This window comes from Homo sapiens, chromosome 16 (assembly GCF_000001405.40).
Source record: "Homo sapiens chromosome 16, GRCh38.p14 Primary Assembly".
Classification (NCBI taxonomy): Eukaryota; Metazoa; Chordata; class Mammalia; order Primates; family Hominidae; genus Homo; species Homo sapiens.
Genome location: NC_000016.10, coordinates 4,209,658 through 4,235,763, shown reverse-complemented (window position 1 = coordinate 4,235,763; position 26,106 = coordinate 4,209,658). Strand labels below are relative to the sequence as shown.

General features: G+C 51.2%; 1 protein-coding gene across 8 annotated transcripts in view; it reads left to right on the top strand.

The window, feature by feature from the left end:
• The window catches only part of SRL (sarcalumenin), a 52,707-nt gene that overhangs the window by 6,317 nt on the left and 20,284 nt on the right, over positions 1 to 26,106 (top strand). The window contains exons 1-2 of one of the 8 annotated variants that reach the window (XM_047434446.1): positions 17,735 to 18,089; positions 21,929 to 22,058. The exons of 5 other annotated variants lie outside the window; for them this stretch is intronic. The gene's annotated coding sequence lies outside the window, so the exon portion shown is untranslated. Of the gene's footprint in view, positions 1 to 17,734; positions 18,090 to 21,928; positions 22,059 to 26,106 lie in introns of those variants that run through there. 2 more of the 8 variants (NM_001323667.1, XM_017023529.2) reach the window with 2 other exon arrangements.

Genomic DNA, 26,106 nt, shown 5'->3' with positions numbered 1-26,106 from the left:
GCCTGAGTTACTCAGATGATGACTGTAGTCCTCTCTCTTTTTTTAATTTTTATTTATTTTTTTGAGATAAGGTCTCACTTAGTCTCCCAGACTGGAGTGCAGTGGTGCAATCATAGCTCACTGCAGCCTCAACTTCCTGGGTTCAAGTGATCTTCCCATTTCAGCCTTCAGAGTAGCTGGGACTACAGGCATGTGTCACCACACCCAGCTAATTTTATTTTTTGTAGATACATGGTCTCACTATGTCACTATGTTGCTCAGGCTGGTCTCAAACTCCTGGGCTCAAGTGATTCTCCTGCCTTGGTCTCCCAAAGTGATGGGGCTACAAGTGTGAGCCACTGCACGCAGCTGACTTTGGTTTTCATTCTTCTTTGTGGACTGGGGATGGGAGTCCAGCCTCAGGTCCCCTTCATGATGTGTTCCTGGCTGTGAGGCCTGTGCCCTCTCGTGTCCCATTGGTGGGACTCACTTTGGCATGAGGACTCACTTTGGCTCAAGGTGGTGGGCTGGCTTCTGTTCTCTCCCGAGTTTGCTCTGGGAGTCCTGTCTTCTCAGGGACCTCGCCCCTGGCCTCACCTGTCTTCTTAGAGCTAAAAGTTGATCTTCAGAGTCTGCCTCCGCCCTATTTGGCTCCTTCATTCCCTCTTGGGTCTCCCTTCCCTACTCAGGCTGGGCCCCTGCTCCGACCCCTGTCCCTGCTACCAAGACACTGGTCATGGGGGGAGCTGCAGCTCATTGCAGTGGAGGCTGGTGACTCGCAGCACAGATGGGCACTTTGCTCAAGTCTGTCTGTGTTTCAGAGGATTCAGAAGATTTCAGCTCAAGGAAGATATCTCTAAGATGGAATTTCCCATTTGGCAGGCAAGGTCTCACCCAAAGTTCCTAAATCTCAACACGGAGGTGGTAAATAGTTCACCGGTTCTGAGCGCAGAGGGACTGAGCTACATAGCAGGGGTTTCTCTTCTGGGTCCTGAATGGGTGAAATAATGAATGAATGAATTGGAGCCATGGCGAGCACGGCTGCTAAGCATGATCTGCCCAGTGCTCGAGAGGTCCCAGTCCCCTGTGCTCATCCCTAGCTGGGTATCCTCAGTAGGACGTGACAGGGGTGGGTGCAGTTTAGCAAATGGGACGGATTTAACTGAGTTTCTAGAGACTGATTCATTTCCTCGATGGCGGCAGCCTGTGCTGTCATCCTTCTCTAATATCAGAGAAGTCCTGTTCCATCTATTTTCAGCCTCCCTCATCCCTCTGCAGCCCTGAAGGTGGTTTTACTCGGAGTCAAGGTCCCAGCTGCCCCCCTACCTTGGGGACATGCCTGTTGCCTGTGACTTCCTCATTGTCTGTCACAGAGGGACTCCCAGAGCAGCAATTGCTGAGCCACCCCATCTCAGGGAAGGTGGCAGAATCAGAATGAAAGCACCAAATTAAATCAGAATTAAAGCAATAATTTATTAAATTTAATTAATAGGCTAGGCACAGTGGCTCACACCTGTAATCCCGGCACTTTGGGAGGCTAAGGCGGCAGGATTGCTTGAGCCCAGGAGTTCCAGACCAGCCTGGGCAACACAGTGAGATCTTGTCTCTACAAAAAAACTTTAAAAATAGCTGGATGTAGTGGGTACACTGTGGTCTCAGCTACTCAGGGGGCTGAGGTGGAAGGATGGCTTGAGCCTAGGAGGTCGAAGTTGCAGTGAGCCAAGATTGTACCACTATACTCTAGCCTGGGCAACAGAGCGAGACCCCATATTTAAAAAAAAGAGAGAGAGAACACAGAATGAATGCAGGCCATGGCCAGCCCTGGCAGGAGAGGAGAGATTGGGTGCCAAATCCTGAAGAAATGAGAGATGCTCCCTAAAGGGAGTCCCCCTTTAGGCTGGAAAAGCAGGATGGACTCGGGTTAGGGATGAAGGCACAAAAGGATCAAATAGAAGCATGAGGGTATGGCACAATCTCAGACTCAGATGCCTCAGAGACTGCAGGGAGCAGAGAGAGTGGGGCATTTGATGAGAGCAGGGAGAGGTGTAAGGCAGCTGTGGGTCCCTCCCTGTGAGGCCCATCTCTCAGCCCCTTGTCAGCCCTGTGAGGTCCTGGCCAGCTGCACTGTGCAGGCGGGAATGAGTTGTGTCTCTGCCCTCAGGAGCTGACCTTCTATTTGGGGAGATGACACGCACTGAAAAAAAAATGTAACTAACACCCCCCCACCAGCAGTCTATGCTCACTCTGGTTGAAGTTCAGAAGATGGTTGGGAAGGTTGGCTGTGCAGAGGGACAGGGTTTCAGCCCAACGTGCAGGGAGGGGACAATTGCTGGACGGTCAGCTTGGGGAGGGTGGAAGCTGTGCCTTTGTTTAATTTGCCCGTATTTCATCACGAACAGTGTAGCATGACGCTTGGCTCATTCAAGGCAGTCAACAAGGTCTAATGAATGACAGATGATTTGTGCAGGCAGAGACACCTGAAGATGGTGACAAAAGCCAGGAGGTGAGGAAGCTCAGAGCACGGCACTGCCAGGGACAGGATGAGACTAGCTCTGGCTAGAGTGTGGGGCTCGTGTTCGGGGGAGATTAGGCCACCCTGATGAGTTGGGGCCAGTTGGGAAGAACCTTGAATGCTGAGCCAAGTGGCTCTTTCTCTCAGCCCTCTGAAGACTCTAGCCTGTTTTCTTCCAGATAGCCCCTCCCTATTCCCCGCTCTCTCAGATATTTTTGGATGCTTCTAGAGCAGGGACTGTACTCTGAGCTCAAACAGGTGCAGACAAAGTCTGGCCTGGAGTTCTGGGCTTGTAGGAAGTGGCTTGTGCTGGGAGCTCAGGGGAGAGTCCCGGGGTTTGGGAGCCCCCGCCTCCCCCCACCACTGGATTGCTGCCAAAACTGCAGCCCCCGGTCCTCCTTCAGGTAGTCATTTGGCTAGGACCTAGGCCAGCTCAGTTTTCTCCCATAGAATTTCCCCTAGGCTGGGCACGGTGGCTCTTGCCTGCAATCCCAGCACTTTGGGAGGTTGAAGCGGGTAGATCCCTTGACCGCAGGAGTTCAAGAGTACCTTGGGCAACATGGAGAAACCCCATCTCTACAAAAAAATACAACAATTAGCCAGGCATAATGGCCTATGCGTGTGGTCCCAGCTGCTTGGGAGGCTGGAGCAGGTGGATCTCTTGAGCCCGGGAGGTCATGGCTGCGGTGAACTGTAATTGTGCCAGTGCACTCCAGTCTGGGTGCCAGAGCAAGACTCTGTTGAAAAAAAAAAAAATTCGTCTAGATGGCAATAGGTAAAGGCTTGACCAAGCCATTCCTTTGGAAGCCATGCCACTGATGGGCCTCCAACTTACACAGCATTTAGGGCCTGATGTGACCACCTGTGTCCCTGTGTCCACCAGAGAGGCCTCTAGCCAATTTGTTGATTACTTAGTGTCAAGTAGTAGATGATTACTTATTTTTCTTGCACTTACCCAAGGAGATCAAGAGACCGGGAGTGCTCTCTAGGACTTGGGAAGAATCTGGAAAAGAACTGGAGAAGTGTCAAGTACTCACCCTGTCCTGGGGAGACCATCCTGGCCTCGGGCTCCCAAGACACCAGCCCACCTCCTTTCCTGCCTTTGTTTCCTTTCCGAATTGGTAGTTAAGCTGGTGAGCACTCCACCAAGTCCCTCCTTGCTTGGCGCTGTCTACACAGAGGCAGAGCGGCTGGCCTGGGGTGGGGCCCAGCGGGAGCACCGGAACCCGGGGGCAGAGCAAATGCTGGTTTTGTCACAAATCAGCCGCCAAGTCCCTGACTATCTCTGCGTTTGTTTCTTCACCCATAAAATGGGGATAATGATACTTGCTCTATTTCCAGCATGGGGCTGTTTCGTGACTATAATAAGAAAATGGCTATCGGATGCTTAAAATATTTTTTGATAATAGATACTTTCTAAGCTTAAAAGGACTATGACAAGAATGACAGGTTATCACTCTTGTGAGTATGCGGCAACTTGATATTTGCCTCCAGTTTCCTGAAATATCATGAAACTTGACCAACCAGGGGAATCCATCAACACGCCTCCCCTGCTCAGGACTGTTAATATCCTTGGGATTCTCTGTCCTCAAAGAGCTTACAGACTAGGAGGGGAGACAGCCCCTGCTCATGACATGAATAGAGAACCATATAAGGTAGACGTAATCAGCAGCTAAAAATAAGCAGCCTGAGAGTGCAGAGAAAGGGGGAGCGGTTGTCGGGGCATGCTTCCTGGAAGGGGGGCTCGAGCTGGGTTTCAGAGCATGTGGGCCCCAGGATGGTGACGACAGGGTCTGCGGCCATGGGGATGGTGAAAACGATTGGCTCAGTGTTAAATGGTGTCAGGAAGCTCTCACAGCGCCAGGCTTAGGTGTTGGTTCCTATTTGATCTTCCTGGGACCACGGTAACAACTTGCCACAAAGTCAGTAGCTTAAAGCCACAGCAATTGTTTTTTTTGAGACAGGGTCTCACTCTGTTGCCCAGGCTGGAGTGCAGTGGTGCAATCTCTGCTCACTGCAATCTCTGCCTCCCGGGCTCAAGTGATCCTCCCACCACAGCCTCCCAAGTAGCTGAGACTATAGGCATGCACCACCATGCTCAGCTAATTTTTGTATTTTTTGTAGAGACAGGGCTCTCGCCATGTTGCCTGGGCTGGTCTTGAGCTTCTGGGCTCAAGTGATCCTACCTTGGCCTCCCAAAGTGCTGGGATTACAGGTGTGAGCCACAGTGCCTGGCCAAAACCACAGAAATTTATTCTCTGACAATTCTGGAGCCCAAAAGTCTGAAATCAAGGTGTTGGCAGGGCCACATTCCCTTTGAAAGGTCTAAGGGGGATCCTTCCTTGCCTCTTCCAGCATCCAGTGGTTGCCAGCAATTCCTGGCATTCTTTGAGTGGTAGCTTCATCACTGCACTCTCTGCCTCTGTCATCATGTGGCCTTCTCCCTTGTCTGTGTGTCCCTGTGTCCTCTCCTCATCACCTAAGGACATTGAAGATGTTGGGTTTAGGGCCCACCTAATCCAGTATGATCTCATCTTAACTAATTACATTTGCAAAGACCCTGTTTCCATAGAAGGTCACATTCTTCCTGGGTGTGGTGGCTCACACCTGTAATCCCAGCACTTTGGGAGGCCAAGGGGGTGCGGATCACGAGGTCGGGAGTTCAAGACCAGCCTGGCCAACATGGTGAAACCCCGTCTCTACTAAAGATACAAAAAAAAAAAAATTAGCCAGTCATAGTGGTGCCCGCCTGTAATCCCAGCTACTTGGGGGGCTGAGGCAGGAGAATCGCTTGAACCCGGGAGGTGGAGGTTGCAGTGAGCCGAGATCGCACCACCATACTCCAGCCTGGGCGACAGGGCAAGACTCTGTCTCAAAAAAAAAAAAAAAAATCACATTCTGAGGTTCTAGGTGGATATGAATTTTAGAGATACACTAATTTTGGGGGGCTTTCTCCTAGGGGATGGTCTTCCACTGGGTGGAGGGGGTACCTGTTTCCTTGGTCCACTTTGTTCCACAGCTCATGGGTTGCCCCCCCTGGCTGATCTGGAGCTCTGCAGACACACCCGGGCAAGTGTGTTGAATGAACAGATGGAGGACTGGCTCAGGCAGAGAATCTCAGGAGGTAGCCCGGCCTAGTAGTGGTGGTAGGTAGGAGGGTGGCTGCCCGGGTGGGGAGAATTGACCAGAATTGCCCAGTTCCTAGGGGGTGTGTCTCTGACGCAGGGTGAGGTAGAGAGGGGAAAGGGATGGAGGTCTGGGTCCTGGCTGCCTGTGTGATGAAAAGAGTAAGGGAGCAAGAAGCTGGAAGCCCAGGACCAGCTTACTCTGTGACCTGAGGCCCAGCTCTTCTTCTGCACGAGGCCCCAGCACGCAGTCCCCTCAAAGTCTTGGCCTTGGGCACAGCAGCCAAGCAGGAGATGGTGCAGGATGTGGAAGCACCTCCTCATCTGCAGAAGCTCCTCAGAGGAAGAACTTCTGAGTGAACTTTATTTTAGATTCAGGGGGGACGTGTGCAGGTTTTTTACATGGATGTAGTGCATGATGCTGAGGTTTGGGCTTTTGTTGATCTTATCAGCCAGATAGTGAACATAGTACCCAATAGGTAGTTTGTCAACACTTGTCCTCTTTCTCACTCCCCCATCTAGTAGTCCACAGTGTCTATTGTTCCCCTCTTTATGTCCATGTGTCTCCAATGCTTAGCTCCCACTTATAAGTGAGAATATGCAGTCTCTGGTTTTTTGTTTCTGCCTTAATTCGCTTGGGATAATGACCTCCAGCTGCATCCATGTTTCTGCAAACAACATGTTTTTTGTTTTTTTTTGAGACGGTGTCTTGCTCTGTCGCCCAGGCTGGAGTGCAGTGGCGTGATCTTGGCTCACTGCAAGCTCCGCCTCCTGGGTTCATGTTCACGCCATTCTCCTGCCTCAGCCTCCCAAGTAGCTGGGACTACAGGTCCCCACCACCACGCTTGGCTAATTTTTTTGTATTTTCAGTAGAGATGGGGTTTCACTGTGTTAGCCAGGATGGTCTCGATCTCCTGTCCTTGTGATCCACCCGCCTCGGCTTCCCAAAGTGCTGGGATTACAGTTGCGAGCCACTGCGCCCAGCCATGATTTTTTTTAATGGCTGGTTGGTATTCCATGGTGTAGATGTACCACATCTTCTTGATTCAGGCCACCGTTGGTGGGCATCTGGGTTGATTCTGTGTCTTTGCTGTTGTGAGTAACGCTGCAGTGAACACATAAGTGTGTGTGTGGAACCTTCTTGAATGTTGCTGAGAAGTTCACTTTCTCATGACCTCTCCCTCTCTAGAAGGAGGGGTCCCCCACTAGAAGGCTGTGTCTTCTCGCTGTGGGTGGTAGGGGTCCCAAACCCAGAGTCTGGGGTGTTTGGGCAGCCCTTGAAGCTTGTGGCTGTGGCTCAGTCCAGTTCTGGAGGGGAACAAGAGTGAGGAGACTGGTCCCCACCTTTCCCCAGCCCCGGGGTCTTCAGGCCTTTTCTTTTTCACTTTTTCTTTCTTTTTTTCTTTTTTTTTTGAGACGGAGTCTTGCTCTGTCACCCAGGCTGGAGTGCAGTGGCATGATCTTGGCTCACTGCAAGCTCCGCCTCCTGGGTTCACTCCATTCTCCTGCCTCAACCTCCCGAGTAGCTGGGACTACAGGTGCCCGCCACCACGCCTGACTAATTTTTTGTATTTTTAGTAGAGACGGGGTTTCACCGTGTTAGCCAGGATGGTCTCGATCTCCTGACCTAGTGATCCGCCCGCCTCGGCCTCCCAAAGTGCTGGGATTGTAGGTGTGAGCCACTGCGTCCAGCCTTTTTGTTTGTTTGTTTCAAGGTGGAGTCTCGCTCTGTCGCCCGGGTTGGAGTGCAGTGGTGCAATCTCGGCTCACTGCAACCTCCACCTCCCGGGTTCAAGCAGTTCTCTGCCTCAGCCTCCCGAGTAGCTGGGATTACAGGCATGCGCCGCCATATCCAGCTAATTTTTGTATTTTTAGTAGAGAGGGGGTTTCACCATCTTGGCCAGGCTGATCTTGAACTCCTGACCTCGTGATCCACCTGCCTCAGTCTTCCAAAGTGCTGGGATTACAGGCGTGAGCCACTGCTCCCGGCCTTCAGGCCTTTTCAGAAGTGGCCACCAATGGTCAGGGAGGCCCGGTCCAGGAATCCCAGGCTGCCCTCCTTAGACCAGCATCCCAGGCTCTCCTTTGGCTGTGTCCCACTGTCCTAACCACAGCCACTGTCCCCACACACCTGGCTGGGCTCCTGCAGTGTCCCACCCCAAATGACTTCACTTCCTCATGGGCTCCTTCGCTCAGCCCTTTGGGTTCACATTCCTGCTCAGGAGCTGCCCTGAAGTTAGTTCCATCTTTCTGCCTGCTTGCCTTTCCCTCCAATAAGATCTTAAGGTCTTTAAGAGGAGGCCCTGCAACTCAGCAGTTCAGTTCATGTAGCTGTCACATGATGAAAGGTGTGGAAAGCAGCTCCTCTGGGGCCTTTTAATAATGAGAAGCGGGCCTGGACAGGTTAGGTGACATGGCCTGAGGACACAGCCTACTCTTAGGCAAGCACTTCCCTGGTTCTGAATCTGGGTCCTCTCCTGTCTCTTGGAACGCAAGTGGGGTTGACGGAAGGTCTTCCATTTTGCCACCACCACCATCGATCCATCCATTCATCCATCCTTCCATTCACCCATCTGTCCACCAATCCATCCATCCACCCATCCATCATCTACCCATCATCCATCTACTCATCTACCCACCCATTCATCCCATCCACTCATCTATCCATTCATCCACCCATCATCCATTCACTTATCCACGCACCCACACATCCATCCTTCCATCCATCAGTCTACCCATCCATCAATCTCTCCATTCATCTATCCATCCACCCATCCTTCCACCCAGCCATTCACCCATCTGTCTGTCCATCCACCCATCTATCCATGCATCCACCCATCCATCCGTCATCCATCCATTTATCTGTCCACCTACCCATCCATCCATCCACCCATCCCTTCATCCATCCATCCACCCACCCATCCACTCATCCACCCATCCACCCATCTATCTGTCCGTCTGTCCATTCATCTATCCACCCTTCCATTCATCCACCATCCATCCTTGCTTTCATCCATCCTTCCATTCATCAATCCACCCATTTATCCATCCATCCATCTGTTCATCCATCCATCATCCATCCATCCATCCATCCATTCATCCATCCATCCATCAGTCCATTCTTCCATCTATTCATCCATCCATCCACCCACTCATCCACCCACACACCTATTCATCCACCCGTCCATGCATCTACTCATCCATCCACCCATCCATTCATCCTTCCATCCATCCATTCATCCATTCATCCATCCTTCCATTCATCTTCTTCCTATCCATCCTTCCATTCATCCATCTACCCCTCCATCCATCCATCCATCCGTCCATTCTTCCATCCATCCATCCATTCAGCCATCCATCCACCCATTCATCTATCATTCATCCATCCACCCATTCTTCCATCCTTCCATCCATCTGTTCATCCATATTTCCTTCCATTCATCCTTCCATTCCTTCATCCACACATTCAACCATCCATCATCCTTCCATTCACCCTTCCTTCCTTCCATCCATCTACCCATTTATTTATCTATTCATGTATTTATCCATCCATCTGTCCATTCACCCATTCATCTGCCCATCCATCCATCTTTCCATCTATGTGTCCATCCATCTGTCCCTCCATTTATCCATCCATCCATCCTTCCACTCACCCACCCACCTACCCATTCATCCGTCTATCCTTCCTTCCATCCTTCCATTCATCCATCCACCCATCCATCCATTCATCCATCCATCCCATCCATCCATTCATCTGTTCATCCATCCATCCTTCCATTCATCCATCTACCCATCCATCCATTCGTCTGTTCATCCATCCATCCTTCCATTCATTCATCCATCCAGCTGTCCATTCGTTCATCCACCCATCCATCCAATGGCTGCCCTAGGTGCAGGGGCTACACAATCCCTGACAGACAGGAAACTGAGTAAGTTATGTAGATTATTAGAAGGTGGTAGATGCGATGGAGAAAAACCAGGGATGGAAGATGGGGAAGACTGACTGGGAGACAATATTCAATAATTCAGTAGGTGGCCAGGGAAGGCCTTATGGAGCTGGTGACATTGGAGCAGACTTAGAAGAGGAAGGAGTGAGTCAGACAGACGGTTGTCTGGGAAGCATGAACATTCTCAGCAAAAAGCAAAGCAAGCACAGAGGGCAGGAGGGGCCCTGAAGAGCAAATCCAGAGTGGCTGGACACAGTGGACGAGGGGGCACATGGGAGAGATGGGGTTACAGGTGAAGCAGGGCTAGAGGGTGTGGGCCTCCAGGTCACCGTAGGATGTTGGCCTCTTCTTTGCATGAGGTGGGAGCCACCGGAGGGAGTGTGTGGAGTGGGGGTCTCCTGTTGCTCTGCTGCTGTGTGGGAAACACACAGGGGATGGGGGACAGAAGCAGGCAGCTCGGGAAAGGGTGACATCAACAATCCAGGTGGGAGATGACAGTGGCTGGGCCAGGGAGCCGGTGGGGGCAGGGGTGTTAAGAAATGGTTGGATTGAGGGTATATTTTAAAGGTAAACAACTTAATTAAGGTTTTGGAGAAAGAAAAGAATCAGCCACTTTAGAGACAGGGTCTCACTCTGTCACCCCGGCTGGAGTGCACTGGTACAATCAGGGCTCACTGAAGCCTCAAACTCCCGGGCTCAGGCGATCCTCCCACCTCAGCCTCCTGAGTAGCTGGCACTATAGGTGCACACCACCACACCCAGCTCATTTTTTGTATTTTTGGTAGAGATGAGGTCTCCCTATGTTTCCCAGGCTGATCTTGAACTCCTGGCCTCAAGAGATCCTCTCACCTCAGCCTCACCGAGTGCTGGGATTACAGGGGTGAGCCACCACACCCGGCTCTTTATTATTTTTGAAAACAGGTTTATTGAGATATAATTCATATGTCATTTAATTTTCTCATTTAAAGCATACAATTCAGTAGTTTTTAGTATATTCACAGATATATGCAGCCATCAACACAGTCAATTTTAGAACATTTTTTATCACCTCAAAAAGAAGCTCTGGGCCCTTTAGCACACACTCCCCAGTTCTCCTCCACCATCCATTCCTCCCTGCTCCCCCAGCAACCACTAATCTGCTTTCTGTGTCTATGGATTTGCTTATTCTGGACTTTCGTATAAATGGAATCACACAAGATGTGGTCTCTTGTGTCCAGCTTCTTTCACTTACCACCGTGTCTTCCAGGTTCAGCCGTGTTGTAGCAGGTGGAAGCGCTCCACCCCTTTCCATGGCTGGGAAATATTGCATTGTGTGGATAGACCATGTTCTGTTTATCCATTGATCTACTGATGGACAGTCGGGCTGTTTCCACCTTTTGGCTATTGTGAATCACACTGCTCATAAACATCAGTGTACAGTTTTTTGTGTGGATATACATTCTGGGGACACTTTATCCTTTTTTTTTCTTTTTTTTTTTCTCGAGATAGGGTCTTGCTCTGTTGCCCAGGCGAGAGTGCAGTGAGTGCAGTGGCGCAATCTCCGCTCACTGCAAACTCCGTCTCCTGGGCTCAAGCCATCCTCCCGCCTCAGCCTCCTGAGTAGGTAGGACCACAGGTGTGAGCCATCACACTAATTTTTTTAATTTTTAAAAATTTTTATAGAGCTGAGGTTTCACCCTGTTGCCCAGGTTGGTCTCGAACTGCTGAGCTCAAGCAATCCTCCCGTCTCGGCCTCCCAAAGTGCTGGGATTACAGGCATGAACCACCGTGCCTGGCCTCACTTTATCTTATAATTAGAAATATCTTGTACGTTCTAGTACTCTCCAGCTTTCAGAATTCCTCCCACTGTGTGACAGTATATAGGCACTCCATCAATAGTAGTGGGGTGAAGGCACTGCAAGTCTGAGGGGTGGGCAGGGTTGGTGTTTTTCTCTTCTGTTTTATTACTAATGAAACATGCCCAGAAATGTTTAAATACTTGCTTGAGGTCCCACTGCTGATTAGGGGAGAACACTTGGGCTCCTAACACTGATCTTTCTACTCCTCTCTCTCTCCCTCCTCCTCTCCTCTCCCTCCTCCAGATGCCCGGGGTCCCAGGGCTGTTCCATCACTGTGCTCCCTGGGCAGCTCTGGCTACTAGAGTTCCATCCATGGTAGTTGCTGTGAGGGCCCCCGACCACCAGCTGCTCCTCTCTCTTCTTTCTCCTCCCAGGAATATTATCGGGCAGGGAGCAGGGCCAGCTATGCCCCCACCCATGATGGGCCTAGGGCTGATGGACATCAGCTTTTGTTGGCCGCCTGTGGCCCTGGAAGTGGATCGTAGCTAGGAAGGGGGTCCCAGGGGCAGGACTGGTGCAGCCTCACACAAGCAGGTTCCTCCACCCTTTGCAACCCGTAGGTCTCTGGGAAGATGGGCTTAGATTGGCTCCCATAATCAAGGTCCAAGGATGGTGGTTCTCGGATGTTAGTGTGTGTGAGAATCTTCTGGGAGCTTGTTTAAAAGGCAGATTCCTTGCCGGATGTGGTGGCTCATCTTTCTGTAATCTCAGCCCTATGGGAGGCCCAGGTGGGAGGATCACTTGAGCCCAGGAGTTTGACACCAGCCTGGATAACAGAGTAAGACCCTGTCTCTACAAAAAAAAAAAAAATTTAAAAACCTAGCCAGATATGATGGCATGCACCTGTAGTCCCACTACTCGGGAGGCTGAGGTGGGAGGATCGTTTGAGCCCTGGAGTTTGAGGCTGCAGTGAGCCATGATTGCACCACTGCACTCCAGCTGGAGTGACAGAGCAAGATTCTGTATCTTAAAATAAAAAAAAGGTGGATTCCTGAGGCCTCCTGCCCACTCCTTTGTTCTGGAGGCCTGAGAATAGGCCTAGGAATGGTACTTTTCTTTTTCTTTCTTTTTTTTCAATCATCGAGCCCCAAACGTTAGGAATTGCTTTTTTGCTTTTTTTTTTTTTTTTTTGAGACAGAGTTTTGCTCTTTTGCCCAGGCTGGAGTGCAGTGGCATGATCTCTGCTCACTGCAAACTCCACCTCCTAGGTTCATGCCATTCTCCTGCCTCAGCCTCCCGAGTAGCTGGGACTACAGGCGCCCGTCACCATGCCCGGCTAATTTTTTTGTATTTTTAGTAGAGATGGGGTTTTACCATGCTGGCCAGGCTAGTCTGGAACTCTTGACCTCAAGTGATCTTCCCGCCTCAGCCTCCCAAAGTGCTGGGATTACAGGCATGAGCCACCGCACTCAGCCTAATTTTTGTGTTTTTAGTAGAGACGGGGCTTCACCATGTTGGCCAGGCTGGTCTCAAACTCCTGACCTCAGGTGATCCATCTGCCTCAGCTTCCCAAAGTGCTGGGATTCTAGGCGTGAGCCACCGCATCTCGCCAGGAATTGTACTTTTAATCAAGCTCCTCTGTGGTCCTTTTGCAGATAGCCCTCGAGCCACACCTTGAGAAGTGCTGGCCAGGAGCAAGGCTCCTTACTGTCAGGTGCTCTCAATGCAGCCAGCAGGTTACTTATGGTGAGGGGATATCTGCAGCCTCCAGTGGGGACAAGTCACAGGCACCAGCCTCTAGCAGCTGCTCATCTATGGAGGGACACAGGTTAAAAGAAAAAAACAAAAAAGCCGGGTGCAGTGGCTCATGCCTGTAATCTAAGCACTTTGGGAGGCCGAGGCGGGTGGATCACCTGAGTCAGGAGTTCAAGACCAGCCTGGGCAACATGGCAAAACCCCGTATCTACCAAAAATACAAATATTAGCTGAGCATGGTGGTGCACACCTGTATTCCAAGCTACTCAGGAGGCTGAGGCAGGAGAATCACTTGAACCCAGGAGGTGGAGGTTGCAGTGAGCTGAGATCGTGCCACTGCACTCTATCCTGGGTTACAAGAGTGAGACCCTGTTTTTAAAAAAAGCCGTCACATAGGGTGATGTCACATAGGTGACAGGTGCTGCAGGGACACAGACCAGAGGAGGGGTCGGGGACGACTCCCAAGGGATGGGACTCAAAGCTGAGATCTGAAATGTGAGCTGGGATTAGCGAGGGGCCAGGCTGGGGGAAGGGAGTGGCAGTGGGTTAGGCAGGTGGTGGTGTGGGCTATTGGGGGACCTGTTATGGGTTGGATTGCATCCCCCAAAAGGATGTGTTGAAGTCCTAACCCCAGAACCTCAGAATGTGACCTTATTTGGAAGTAGGGTGGTTGCAGATGTAGTTAGTTAAGATGAGGTCATGCTGGAGTGGGGCTGGCCATAAATCCAATATGAAGGTGTCCTTATGGGAAGAGAAAAGACACAGACACACAGAGAAGGCCTTGTGTCAGTGGAGGCAGAGACTGGAGTGACGCAGCCACAAGCCAAGAGTTGCTGGCAAACACCAGAAGCTAGAGAGGCAACGAAGGAGTCTCTCCTGTGGGTTTCAGAGGAGGTGGCCCTCTTGGCACCTTGATTTGAGACGTCTGGCCTCTAGGACTGTGAGTGAACACATTTCCATTGTTTTACACCACTAAGTTTATAGTGCTTTGTCACAGCAGCCCCATAGAACAAATACAAAACCACATTCAGGCATCAGTGCAGGGATCTGGGCCTTTTTTGACCAGGGCTGAGTGGGACCCTTTGGCCAGGCCGGCCCACTAAGCTCCTCAGACATGGGCTGGAGGTGGCCCCATGTGGCTCTCAGTGTTGACCGGGGAGGGTCAGCCTGGGGACAGCGAGTGTGGAATGTACACTTGCTCTAGCCCTGCTGTGGCTTCAGCCTTCCTCTCTTCAGGGGAGTCCTTTGGGAACTAGGGAGTAGGCAGCCTGGCCTGCTGTGTGGCCATGAGGCTGCCAAGGGAAAAGAAAAGAACGGAATAGGCCAGGTGCAGTGGCTCACGTCTGTAATCCTAGCACTTTGGGAGGCTGAGGCAGGCAGATCACGAGGTCAGGAGATCGAGACCATCCTGGCTAACATGGTGAAACCCATCTCTACTAAAAATACAAAAAATTAGCTGGACATGGTGGCATGCACCTGTAGTCCCATCTACTCAGGAGGCTGAGGCAGGAGAATCACTTGAACCCAGGAGGCAGAGGTTGCAGTGACCTGAGATAGTGCCACTGCACTCCAGCCTGAGCGACAAAGTGAGACTCCGTATCGAAAAAAAAAAAATAATGGAATAGCCCATGGTCCCAGGCGATGAGGGCCTCATCTGGTTTCAGTATTTGTGGGGTTTTTTTTGAGACAGGATCTCGCTCTGTTGCCAGGCTGGAGCGCAGTGGCACAATCATAGCTCACTGCAGCCTAGAACTCCTGGGCTCAAGCGATCCACCTGCCTCAGTCTCCTGAGTAGCTGGGACTATAGGAGCATACCGCGAGGCCCAGCTAATTTTTTTTTAAGTATATTCGGGGTCCCACTATGTTGCCTAGGCTGGTCTTGAACTCCTGGGCTCAAGCGATCCCCCTGCCTCAGCCACCCAGAGTTATTTCAGTGTTTGACTAGATGAGACAGATGCAGAGAGCCCAGGCTCTCAGTGACACAAAGTTCACCAGAGAAAGCTGCTGTTGGGTTGAATGATGATTTCTCCCTGGGGTGGGATATCCAGAGAGGGAGCCAGGCAACTTGGAGGCCCGGCCTGAGGGGCGGGATGGAGCCTGCAGCTCACCCAGGAAAGTGCATCCCCATGTGTCTGGGGTTAAGGGGTCTGGGGATGTAAATCAGAGGCTCTAGCAAGGCTGCTCCCAGGGAAGACATGAGATGTGTGTGTGTTTTTTTTTTCTAGGACAGTGTCTCCTGTCACTGAGGCTGGAGTGCAATGGCGTGATCTCGGCTCACTGCAGCCTCCACCTCCCGGGTTCAAGCAATTCTCGTGCCTCAGCCTCCTGAGTAGCTGTGTGCCACCACACCCGGTTATTTGTGTGTGTGTGTGTGTGTGTGTGTGTGTGTTTTAGTAGAGACAGATTTTCGCTATGTTGGCCAGGCTGGTCTCAAACTCCTGGCCTCAAGTGATCTGGCCTCCCAGAGTACTGGGATTATAGGCATGAGCCTCCACACCTGGCCTAGACGTGAGATTTCTAGGATGGTTCCCCTTAGGGTGGCTGGGTGTTCTGGACACCTGTACTCTGGAGTGAAAATTCAGGGTAATGGTCAGATTTGCTCTGGAGGCATCCAGAGTTTGTACTGTTCACGGAGCGGCAAGGTGGGCTGGGAGGGTCTTCCCTTCTCTAATGACCCAGACGCTGGAATGCTCTTCTGGTCCCATCTTCTTTTGGCCTCTGCCACCTTGAACTCAGATAGCTAAGAGCTGATCTCACACAGCCCTCATGGAACCAACTGTCCTTTGTCTCTTGGTGGTGATGACAACCATTCCTGCATGCCTCTGCTGACGCCAGGAATACCACAGACTTAATGCTGAATGCAGGGAGCTAACCCTCACCCTGGGTCCTTCCTAAAATCTCCATACAGGCCAGGCGTGGTGGCTCACACCTGTAACCTCAGCACTTTGGGAGGCCAAGGCGGGAGGATCACTTGAGTGCAGGAGTTTGAGACCAGCCTGGGCAACATGGTGAAACCCCATCTCTACTAAAAATATAAAAAATATTACCTAGGCATGGTGGCATGCACCTGTAGTCCCAGCTACTCAACAGGCTGAGGCAGGAGAATCAGTGGCTTGAAACTGGGAGGTGGACGTTGCAGTGAGCCGATATCGCGCTACTGCACTCCAGCCTGGGTGATAGAGCGAGACTGTCTCAAAAAAAAAGCTGTGCTCAGGGCGCCAGCCTGACACTACTGTGGCTGCCCCGACACAGCCCTCTGAGACTCACCAAGGGGCTGTCCTTTGTAGGAACAATAGGGGGACAGATGAGCAATCCAGGGGCCCCAGCTCCCAGGGACAGGGCAGGATGTGAGCATCCAAAGCTTAGAAACGTCTGGGAGAAGGGGAAGTTGTATTTGTCTGGGCCCCCTATGGGAAGACTACGGCTGCGGGGTCAGGAGACCTTGTCTCTAGTTCTAGCTTTGTCCCAGTGCACTGGCGACTTCTGGCAAGCTCCTTTTTCCTCTCTGGGCATTGGTTTCCTCCTCTGTGAAAAGAAAGAGTTGGGCTAAAGAGTTGGGCTAGTTACTTTCTAAGTTTCTTTCTGATTCTAGAGCCTTGAATGCAAAAATAACCATAAGGATAAATAAGATGAGACCTGGGGCCATGAATGCCAGGACCTGGCGGTGGGGCCCATCTGTCATGGATTCGGTGACACCCTCTGGGAAAGAAGGTTGAAAAATCTGGCCTTTTGGTGTCTAGGCAGAAGTTTTTCCAGAGAGGTCTATGAGCTGGGGCACATGGGCAGGACATTTGTGTATTCTTGCTGCCCTAGCTCTGCCAGAGGCCTGGCCTTCCTCCTTAACTAACTCTGCGTAGACTTGGGAACCGCCGGCTTCTGTGGTCTTCCTGGCAGTTGTAGGAGAGATGGCTGAGGACACCTCCCCGGCTGAGCAGGTTGGGGGCTGTGCGCCCTGTTGTCTGGCACTCTGGGTGTGGCATTTCCTCTCACCTGCTCTGCTAATGGGGACAGAGCTGCTGGTGATGGAGGAGCAGGGCCCACGTGGTCCAGCGGGCCTGTGTGTGAGGCTCTTCAAAGCCATGGAGACATCAGCTGTGATTTCACTTGTGCGAGAGGAGCAAAGCGCCGCTGTATATTGGAGGCCAGAACTGCTCCTGCCCCATCTCTGTGGCTCAGCCCTGGCTGCGTTCTCCAGGCCCGAGTGGTTTCTGAAGGGCTGATTGTCTTACTCCCAGTGCTCACTTACCATGAGGATGAGGAAGCCACACAGCACTGCTAATGACCTCCCTCCGACCGTGTTGCTGTTTCAGAGAGCTTTGAAGGGCCCTTACCGGTCCTCTGCCTTCGGAAAGGGCTTCCCTCCCATTCTCAGAAAGACGTGGCCCTTAGAATGGGTCTGTTTAAACTTCCTGAGTGCGCGTTTGCGTTGGGGTGAAGTGCGGGGTCACCTCACTTCAGTGACTGGACAGAAGGGATGGGACGTGGTGGGGAAAGGGGAGGCCACATGTGGCCTCAGATGTTGCTGGTGAATCAGGGCTGACTGAGGCTGGAGTCAGGGACTGCAGGGGTTAACTTTGGGATCAGCAGAACGAGCTCCTGGCCCCTGGGAGTGTTGACAGCTCAGCCTGCTCCGTTCCCAGACCAGCCAGAACTTCACCAAGAGCGCAGGGCTCACCCCCAGGCACCCTGCAGCTCCTCGCCTGAGCTGCCTCTGGCTGGCAGCCAGGGAGGAGGAGTCCCTGGCAGAAGGATGGATGGCTCCGGGCCCCCTGACTGAGCCCCCAGACCCGGAGGGCTAAAGGAACAGCGTGAAGGGCCAGCTGGCTCGGCTCCTGTCCGAAGCTGGCTCTGCTGTGGCCCACTCAGCAAATTTGGGATTTGGCCTGGTGTCTTTGCTCTTCTAGGAAAGAATGATGCTCATAGCTGACATTTATTGAAATGCTTCTGAGCACCACCTGATGTTTAAAACGCTCTGATGGGGCTGGCAAAGCAGGTATTGTTATCTACATTTTATGGGCGAATAAAGTTGTGTGCAGAGGGAGTAAGGAGCAACCCAAGGTTACTTCGCTGGGTAGTAAGACAGCGGGGGGTGGGGGCGCCAGTGGTAAGACAGCAGGGGAGGGGCCAGTGGCTCACGCCTGTAATCCCAGCACTTTGAGACGCTAAGGCTGGAGGATCGCTTGAGCCCAGAAGTTTGAGACCAGCCTGGGCAACATAGTGAGACCCTGTCTTTACAAAAAATAAAACAATTAGCCAGGCATGGTGGCGCGTGCCTGTAGTCCCAGCTACTCTGGAGGCTGAAGTGTGACAAGTAGGAAGGCTGCAGTGAGCTTTCGTCACACTGCTGCACTCCAGTCCAGGTGACAGAGCAAGACCCTGTCTCTAAGGGACAGGGTCTGTAAAAAAAGAAAAAGAGTAAGGGGCAGAACCCAGCTTTCCTGACTTCCAGGTGCATTCAGAGAGACCAGCCACTATCTAGGAGGCTGGAGCCTCAGCCCCAGGAAGAAAGAAAAGGCATAGCCGTGGGCCTGGCTCAGGCTAGGGAAGGTGTCACACCCATTTCCCAAGCTCCCACGTTTCTCAAGAAGATTCCCTCCAGCTTCCCTGGATTGGGGATGGGGTGGGCCCAGATTCCTTGACCCCTTCACCTGCCAAGCTGGAGATGGCTCTGACTTTAACCCAGGATAGCTGTTAGACTGAGACCTGCGGGAGCCACGCTCCCTTGGCTTCCAGTAAGTCTTTTCCTGTCTGGGGCCCAAAAGTTAGACCAGCACCTCATCCCCACAGATCCCAGGGAGATTGGATTTCTTCGGACTGGGATGTGGGGGGAAGCCAGCCACCTGCCTTGGTCTGTCTCAGAACCCAGCCTGCATCCCTTTCCCCTTCCTTTCCCTTTCCTCCCCAGCTCGGCCCCTCTGAAGGGAGGCAGCAGGCCCAAGGCCTTCTGCAAGGATTTCTGTTCACTGCAGGCACGGCTGATCTCTGGAAAAACTGAGTGCTCTATAGAGTATCCCTGCTAGTGATTGACTCATACTGAGGGGTTAGGATATAATGTTTTGCTCTTTCTGAGGTATTTGTCTTTTTAAAGTGAATAGTGGCTGGGCATCGTGGCTCATGCCTATAATCCCAGCACTTTGGGAACTTGAGGCGGGTGGATCACTTGAGGTCCAGAGTTTGAGACCAGCCTGGCAAACGTGGTGAAACCCCATCTCTACAAAAAATACAAAAATTAGCCGAGTGTGGTTGCGTGCACTTGTGGTCCCGGCTACTCAGGAGGCTGAGGCAGGAGAATCGCTTGAATCTAGGAGGCAGAGGTTGCAGTGAGCTGAGATTGTACCACTGTACTCCAGCCTGAGTGACAGAGATGCTGTCTCAAAAAATAAATAAATACATAAAATAAAAATAAAATAAAATAAAAGTGAATAGTCATTTATACTGATGACTCCTCCAGGCATCAGTGACAAGCATGTATATATATGATGGTTGTGGGATTTCTGGTAATTTCTTTCTACCTCCCAAACCAAGAATTCCCAGGAATTGGAGGTGGGGTGAGGAGTGAAGTTATTCTGTCAATTCTCAGGACTCTATGGGTTAAAAACAATTGTGCTGAAGTCTTAATCCTTTTTTTTTTTGAGACAGGGTCTCCCTCTGTTGCCTAGGCTGGAGTATAGTGGTGTTATCAAAGCTTATTGCAACTTCAAACTCCTAGGCTCAAGAGGTCCGTCAACCACAGCCTCCCCAGTAGCTGGGACCACAGGCGCACGCTACCATGCCAAGCTAATTTTAAAATTTTTTGGAAAGATGGGCCAGTAGTAAGACAAAGCAAGTAGTAAGCAAGACAGAGGTCTTGCTTTGTTACCCAGGCTGGTTTCAAACTCCTGGGCTCTAGGGATCCTCTCACCTCGGCCTCCCAAAGTGCTGGGATTACAGGTGTGAGCCATGGGCTCTCAGAGCCACTGCGTCCAGCCTAAAACAGTTGTTATTGAAGAGTAGAAGAGGGTGGGCTAAGAAATCACTGTCCTAGGGTAGACTTAGACCCTCTTATTGGCTGGCCCACTGCTGGGAGAGCGTCCATAGAGAGCTGAGTTCTAGAAGCAGACTGCTGCCTACTACCTTAACTAGCCCCATGGCCTTGGGACAAGCACTTACCAGGGTTTTGGGGTTTTGTTCATGAGTGAAATCAAGCCAGTTGGTCTATCAGAAGATCTCTCTGGACCCCCAAATCCCAAGGTTCTTTCTGATTGCTACCTTTGTCATTGTACCCTGTCATACTTTTGTCATTGTATCTGATTCCCTGGATGAATCATTTTAAGGGCTAGAGTCCAGCCAGGGACAAGCTGTCCCAGTGGGATTAGCCTTGACTTTAGGAGCATGGCCAGGAAGCCAAAGAAGCCTTCCAAGAATGGCTGCCTCAGCCCCTGCACTCTGGTCGCCCATGTTGGGAGAAGAGGGAAAGGCTGAGAGAATGGCAGAAGAGGACCTCAGGGGTCCTGGGAGAATGCAGACAAGCCTTCCTCCAGCCAGAATTTCTCTTCTCGGGTCCTTATGGGCAACAGCCTTCTGCAAAGTTGTCCTAAGACTTCATCTAAGAAGTGGAAGAGGCCGGGTGCAGTGGCTCATGCCTGTAATCCCAGCACTTTGGGAGGCTGAGGCGGGTGGATCACCTGAGGTCAAGAGTTTGAGACCAGCCTGGCCAACATGGTGAAACCCTGTCTCTACTAAAAATACAAAAATTAGCCAGGAGTGGTGGCAGGCACCTGTAATCCCAGCTACTCGGGAGGCTGAGGCAGGAGAATCGCTTGAACCCAGGAGGCAGAGGTTGCAGTGAGCCAAGATCGCACCACTGTACTCCACCCTGGGCGACAGAATGAGACTTCGTCTAAAAAAAAAAAAAAAAGTGGAAGAGCAAGGGGTCCTGAGCAGTGAATGTTTACCCAGTAGGATAAAGTCAAGGAAAAACAGGACACCAGAAGAGGCTGCTGGCCCACGTTTGCCCGGTCCACGAGTGTTCAGAGACAAGATCTAGAACAAGGAAGGGGGCAGGCTGCCTGCTCTGCGGCATGAACTCTGTTTTCTGAATTGCTCCCTGCTGCACTTAATATACAGCCAATGAGAGCCAAAACGTGGGGCGGGGGGTGGATGGGGGCAAGACATGGGGCTCACATGTATGCCATGGCTGGTGCTCCTCACTCTCTGGGACAGATGAACCAGGCAGAGATTTGGAGAGTGATTCCTGCCCCCGCTGGGGATTCTGTTACTAATGACTGATTTGCATAACTGTGTATGAGTAATGGTCAGAGGTATTTTACTTACGCATGACTTTGGACTTGCTAGCTCTAGTTCAAATGGATGAGAAGTCATGTGGAAGAATAACCTTGGCAGGTACTTGTTATAAACATGTGCTAAGGAGACTTGGACGGGCTGGAATAGAATCTACATTTGATTGCACGAAGGCACTGAATACATTCAACACCCAGAGGTGGGCTGAAAACAGGTCCTGACCTCTATTCTCTCCATCTCTAGTTTCAACTTCAAGACAGAGCTTCCTGGCCCTTGGTACTGAGGATGGCTAGTGCAGAGGGTCCGAAATGCTGGTGTTCTGTAGAATCCCCTTGTGAAACACACAGGTACACGTTGACCCAGCCCCAGAAGCTGGGTATCTGGGCTTGAACAGCTCAGCAGGTCATGGTCGCTCCCAGGGAGCTTTGTTCTGTCTCTTGGCCTGAGTTCCAGCCCATCCCTGGAATGACTTGTGAGGCAAACGACTTGACTTCCGTGTGTTTGTTTCCTCATTTCAAGAGAGGTTAACAACCCTTGCTTTTTCTGCCTCAGAGGGCTGCTAGGAGCATCAGAGAAGAATAAGCACAGGAAACTACCTTGGAAAGATGGAGTCCTACGTGAGGGCAGGAGATGACCCAGCTGAGAGCCTGGCACGTGTGGACTGGCAAAGTGAAAATATGCTGTAAGCGTGGTTCACACCTGTAATCCCAGCACTTTGGGAGGCTGAGGTGGGAGGATCGCTTGAGGCCAGGAGTTTGAGACCAGCCTGGGCAACATAGCGAGACCTCATCTCTACAAAAATGAAAAAAATCAGCTGGATGTGGTGGCACACACATGGAGTTCCAGCTGTTTGGGGGAGCTGAGGTGGGAGGATCCCTTGAGCCCAGGAGGTGGAGGCTGCAGTGAGGTGTCATTGTGCCATTGAACCCCAACCTGGGCGACAGCAAGACCTGTCTCAAAAAAAAAAAAAAAAAAAAAAAAAAGAAAAAGAAAAAGAAAAAAAAAGATGCTGTAAGCAGGATGTCTTGGGACGTTGGAGAAAATAATGGATAGGAGGCTCAAGGCAGATACTAATATTTTGAAGGAAGAAGCGAGGAGAGTAAAGGAGCAGGGCTTGCCAATCTCCCTGCAGTCTTTCTCTGTGGACACTGGGGCAGACAAATTCAAGGAGAGCAGGAAGTACAAAGTGGGTGGCTGTCTCTGCTGTTTGATCTTTCCTCACCCCATGAGTCACTTCTATGGAACCCTAGCACTTCATGGGACATGGTTTGTGAACTCCATGGGGGCAAAAAGAACTCCAGACTAAGGTTCATATATTTGGACTCTGTCCCACCCCTGCCCCAATCTTGGGCAAGTCTCTGAAGGTATCTGGCCAGAGCGTCCTCCTTTACAGTTGGACTCACGAGGGCCCTTGGCAACTCCATAGTCCTCTGAGTCCATGTAGAAGTGCTTTGGAAAGAGACAGGGCTGAAGAAACAAAATCAGGGCATTTGGTTGGTGATGGAGAGAGGAGAGAGGGACTGAGCCTGGGCCTGCCCTGAGGCTGTGGGGCTGGTGGGACCTGCTGGAAAGCTGGCCCCCCGAGAAAGGCTGGTGGCAGAGGGGCTGGTGGGAGAAGCAGGATTGTTGTGTGTTGTGCTTGGACTGGGTGTGAGTGGGGTGGGGCCTTCCCATGGTCTCTGGGCAGAGTTGGGGCCTGCTATTCCTGTGCCCTGACGTCAGTCCCGGGCCTGGCCTGGCCGGAGTCGGGGGGGCCACCCTGGCAGCAGCACATACAGTGCGGTACTTCATGTCCCAGGATAGACCAAGACTCATCTTACTGGGGATTCACCTCTCCAGGGTGTCCTGGGTCCTCTGCGGCCTCCCTGCTCCAGGGCCAATAGGGTGCTTCGGCAAGAAGCAAGGGAGGTGGGAAAGACACCAGCCTTGATTTCCCAGGATTGAAGTGAGATGTCATGCGATGGAAGTGAGTGTAATCGGAGGCTCCCACACCTCTGTCTGCGCCTCCAAGAGGAGAACTGGGTCCAGTGGCACAGCTGCTTCCTGGGGAGTGAGCTCTGGGGCCCAATGGGACAGCTTGTTTCATTGAGAGACTTTCTGTTGGAGCAGTTATTTTTAGCCTGGGAGAAAGGTCACAGTGTAAGAAGCCATTATCCTCAGTCCTTTTTACTCCAAATTGTTTAGCAGAAGTTCAGGGGAAGCTCAGCCCTAAGTTGTGAAAACCAGGGAAGAGCTTGAATATAAATGTGCATACACATATGCACACACCTTGCTTCCTGCCCAGGGCGCAGGAGTGGAAACACACAGCAGTGTGAAGGTCATGGTCACGGTGAACCTCCAACATTTGGAACTTTCATCCCCCTTGGGACTGTGTGGCCCTCTCACCTTTACCAGGGAAAACGGCTTTTGAGACTGTCAGAAATGTTATAGGACATCAGACCTAGAGTTCATTCAACTCAGTATCATTATCACCACTATCATTCTCATCATCATTGTCATCATCACTCTCACCATCATCACCATCGTCGTCATCGTCGTCATCACCATCATCATCATCACCACCATTGCTGCCATCATCATCATCATCACGATCCTCATCATCAGCATAGTCACCACCATCATCATCACCATCATCATCATCATCACGATCCTCATCATCGGCACGGTCATCACCATCACCATCATCACCATCATCATCATCATCACGATCCTCATCATCGGCACGGTCATCACCATCATCATCACCATCATCATCATCATCACGACCCTCATCATCGGCACGGTCATCACCATCACCATCATCACCATCATCATCATCATCACGATCCTCATCATCGGCACGGTCATCACCATCATCATCACCATCATCATCATCACGATCCTCATCATTAGCATGGTCATCACCATCACCATCATCACCATCATCATCATCATCACGATCCTCATCATCGGCACGGTCATCACCATCATCATTGAAGGACAACAGGAGCCCATGGAAAGGGCTGGATTCCCAGAGGAGAAGCCTTAACTACTGCTGTTCCAAAGGCAAATGCCAGGCCCTAGGAGACCCCCCCCAACGTGGGAGCCCACAATGGGGATCCTTAGTGGGGTGGGCCTGCGAGTAGGGAGGGCCTGGGAGCTGAAGCCTGGGGGTCAAGATTATTTGATTTGGTAGTTGCAGTGGTTTGCAACTTTGTGTGTTACCTAAGAACTTTTTTTTTTTTTAATCATGATGCTGGTGCTATACCCTGGATTATTTAAATCAAAACTGCAGAGAAAGGGAAGCATGGGACCAAGAAGCAGGTGATTTCAATATGCAGCCAATGCTGAGAGTCGCTGGCTGAGGGGCAGTTTGTGAGGCAGTGTAGCCCAGCGCTTCTCAGACTGTAATGTGCACAGGAATCACCTGGCCATTTTGTTAAAATGCAGATTCTGATTCAATGGGTCCAGGCTGGGGCTTAAAAGTCTGCGTCTCTAACAGGCTCCCGGGGGATACTGTGGCTCTGAAGTCACATGGCCCAAGCCAGTTATTAGCTGTGTGACATTCAACAAGGGCCTCAATGTCTCTGGTTCCAGACTTCTCATCTGTAAAAATAGAGATATGAGGCTGGGTGTGGTGGCTCATGCCTGTAATCCCAGCACTTTGAGAGGCTGAGGTGGGTGGATCCCTTGAGATCAGGAGTTCAAGACCAGCCTAGCCAACATGGTGAAACCCTGTCTCTATTAAAAATACAAAAATTAACTTAGCATGCGCCTGTAATTCCAGCTACTCGGGAGGCTGAGGCAGAAGAATCGCTTGAACCCGGGAGGTGGAGATTACAGTGAACCGAGATCGCGTTCACTGCACTCCAGCCTGGGTGACAGAGTGAGACCTTGTCTCAAAAAAAAAAAAAAAAAAAAAGATATGAGTAATACTCATTTTACCAAAACAAGTAAGATTAAGAAAATTCAGTATGATGAAGATACTGTTTTATATATAAAGTGCTTAAGCATTGCCTGGCAGGCTGTATCTCAGATATGTACATACAGATGTATGTCATATACATTATACGTATCCTGCTGTTCAGAGGACATTCAGTCTCTTCTGATTAAACCAAATTCCCACCATAGATTTTTCTGCAGGGGTGGAAGGTGGAGAGATAGAGATGTAGGTGAAGGAGTCAGGACTTACAGGTATGTAGGTGGTGATGAAAGGAGATTAAACTGAGCAACAGTCAGCTCCCTGTCCTGTCCCCCACTAAGGGACCAGGAATTCGTTTTGGTACCCCAATCTGACCGCGGACCTCTTCCAGCACTTTCTGTGGGTCAGGCAGGGTGCCAGGCCCTGGGAACACAGAATTAAATTGGATTCCTGCAAATCAGGAGCCAGGACCAGTACGGAGCTTGAGCCTGAAGAGAAGGCACGTGCAGGCAGGAGCTGAGATTCCAGCAGGAAGGGGTCCCCTGTGCCCTGCTAAGCACAGCATGGCATGGAAGCCTGGACAGGGACTGGGCAGTTCTGGGTTCCGGTCACCCATTAACTACCTAGTGGTGATGTATCTAGGGCAGGGCAAAGATCTCTGGACTTTCACTTATTCAGCTCTGAAATCTCTCTGACAGTCGTAAAGAAGGTTAAATGGCCATGCATATGAAAGTGCTGGGGGAAAAGTTGTATATTTCAATCCACGGGGCTCCTCTATAATAAAAGGCACCAAGCTTCACATCTTTCTGAGTTCGACAACAGGCTAGCT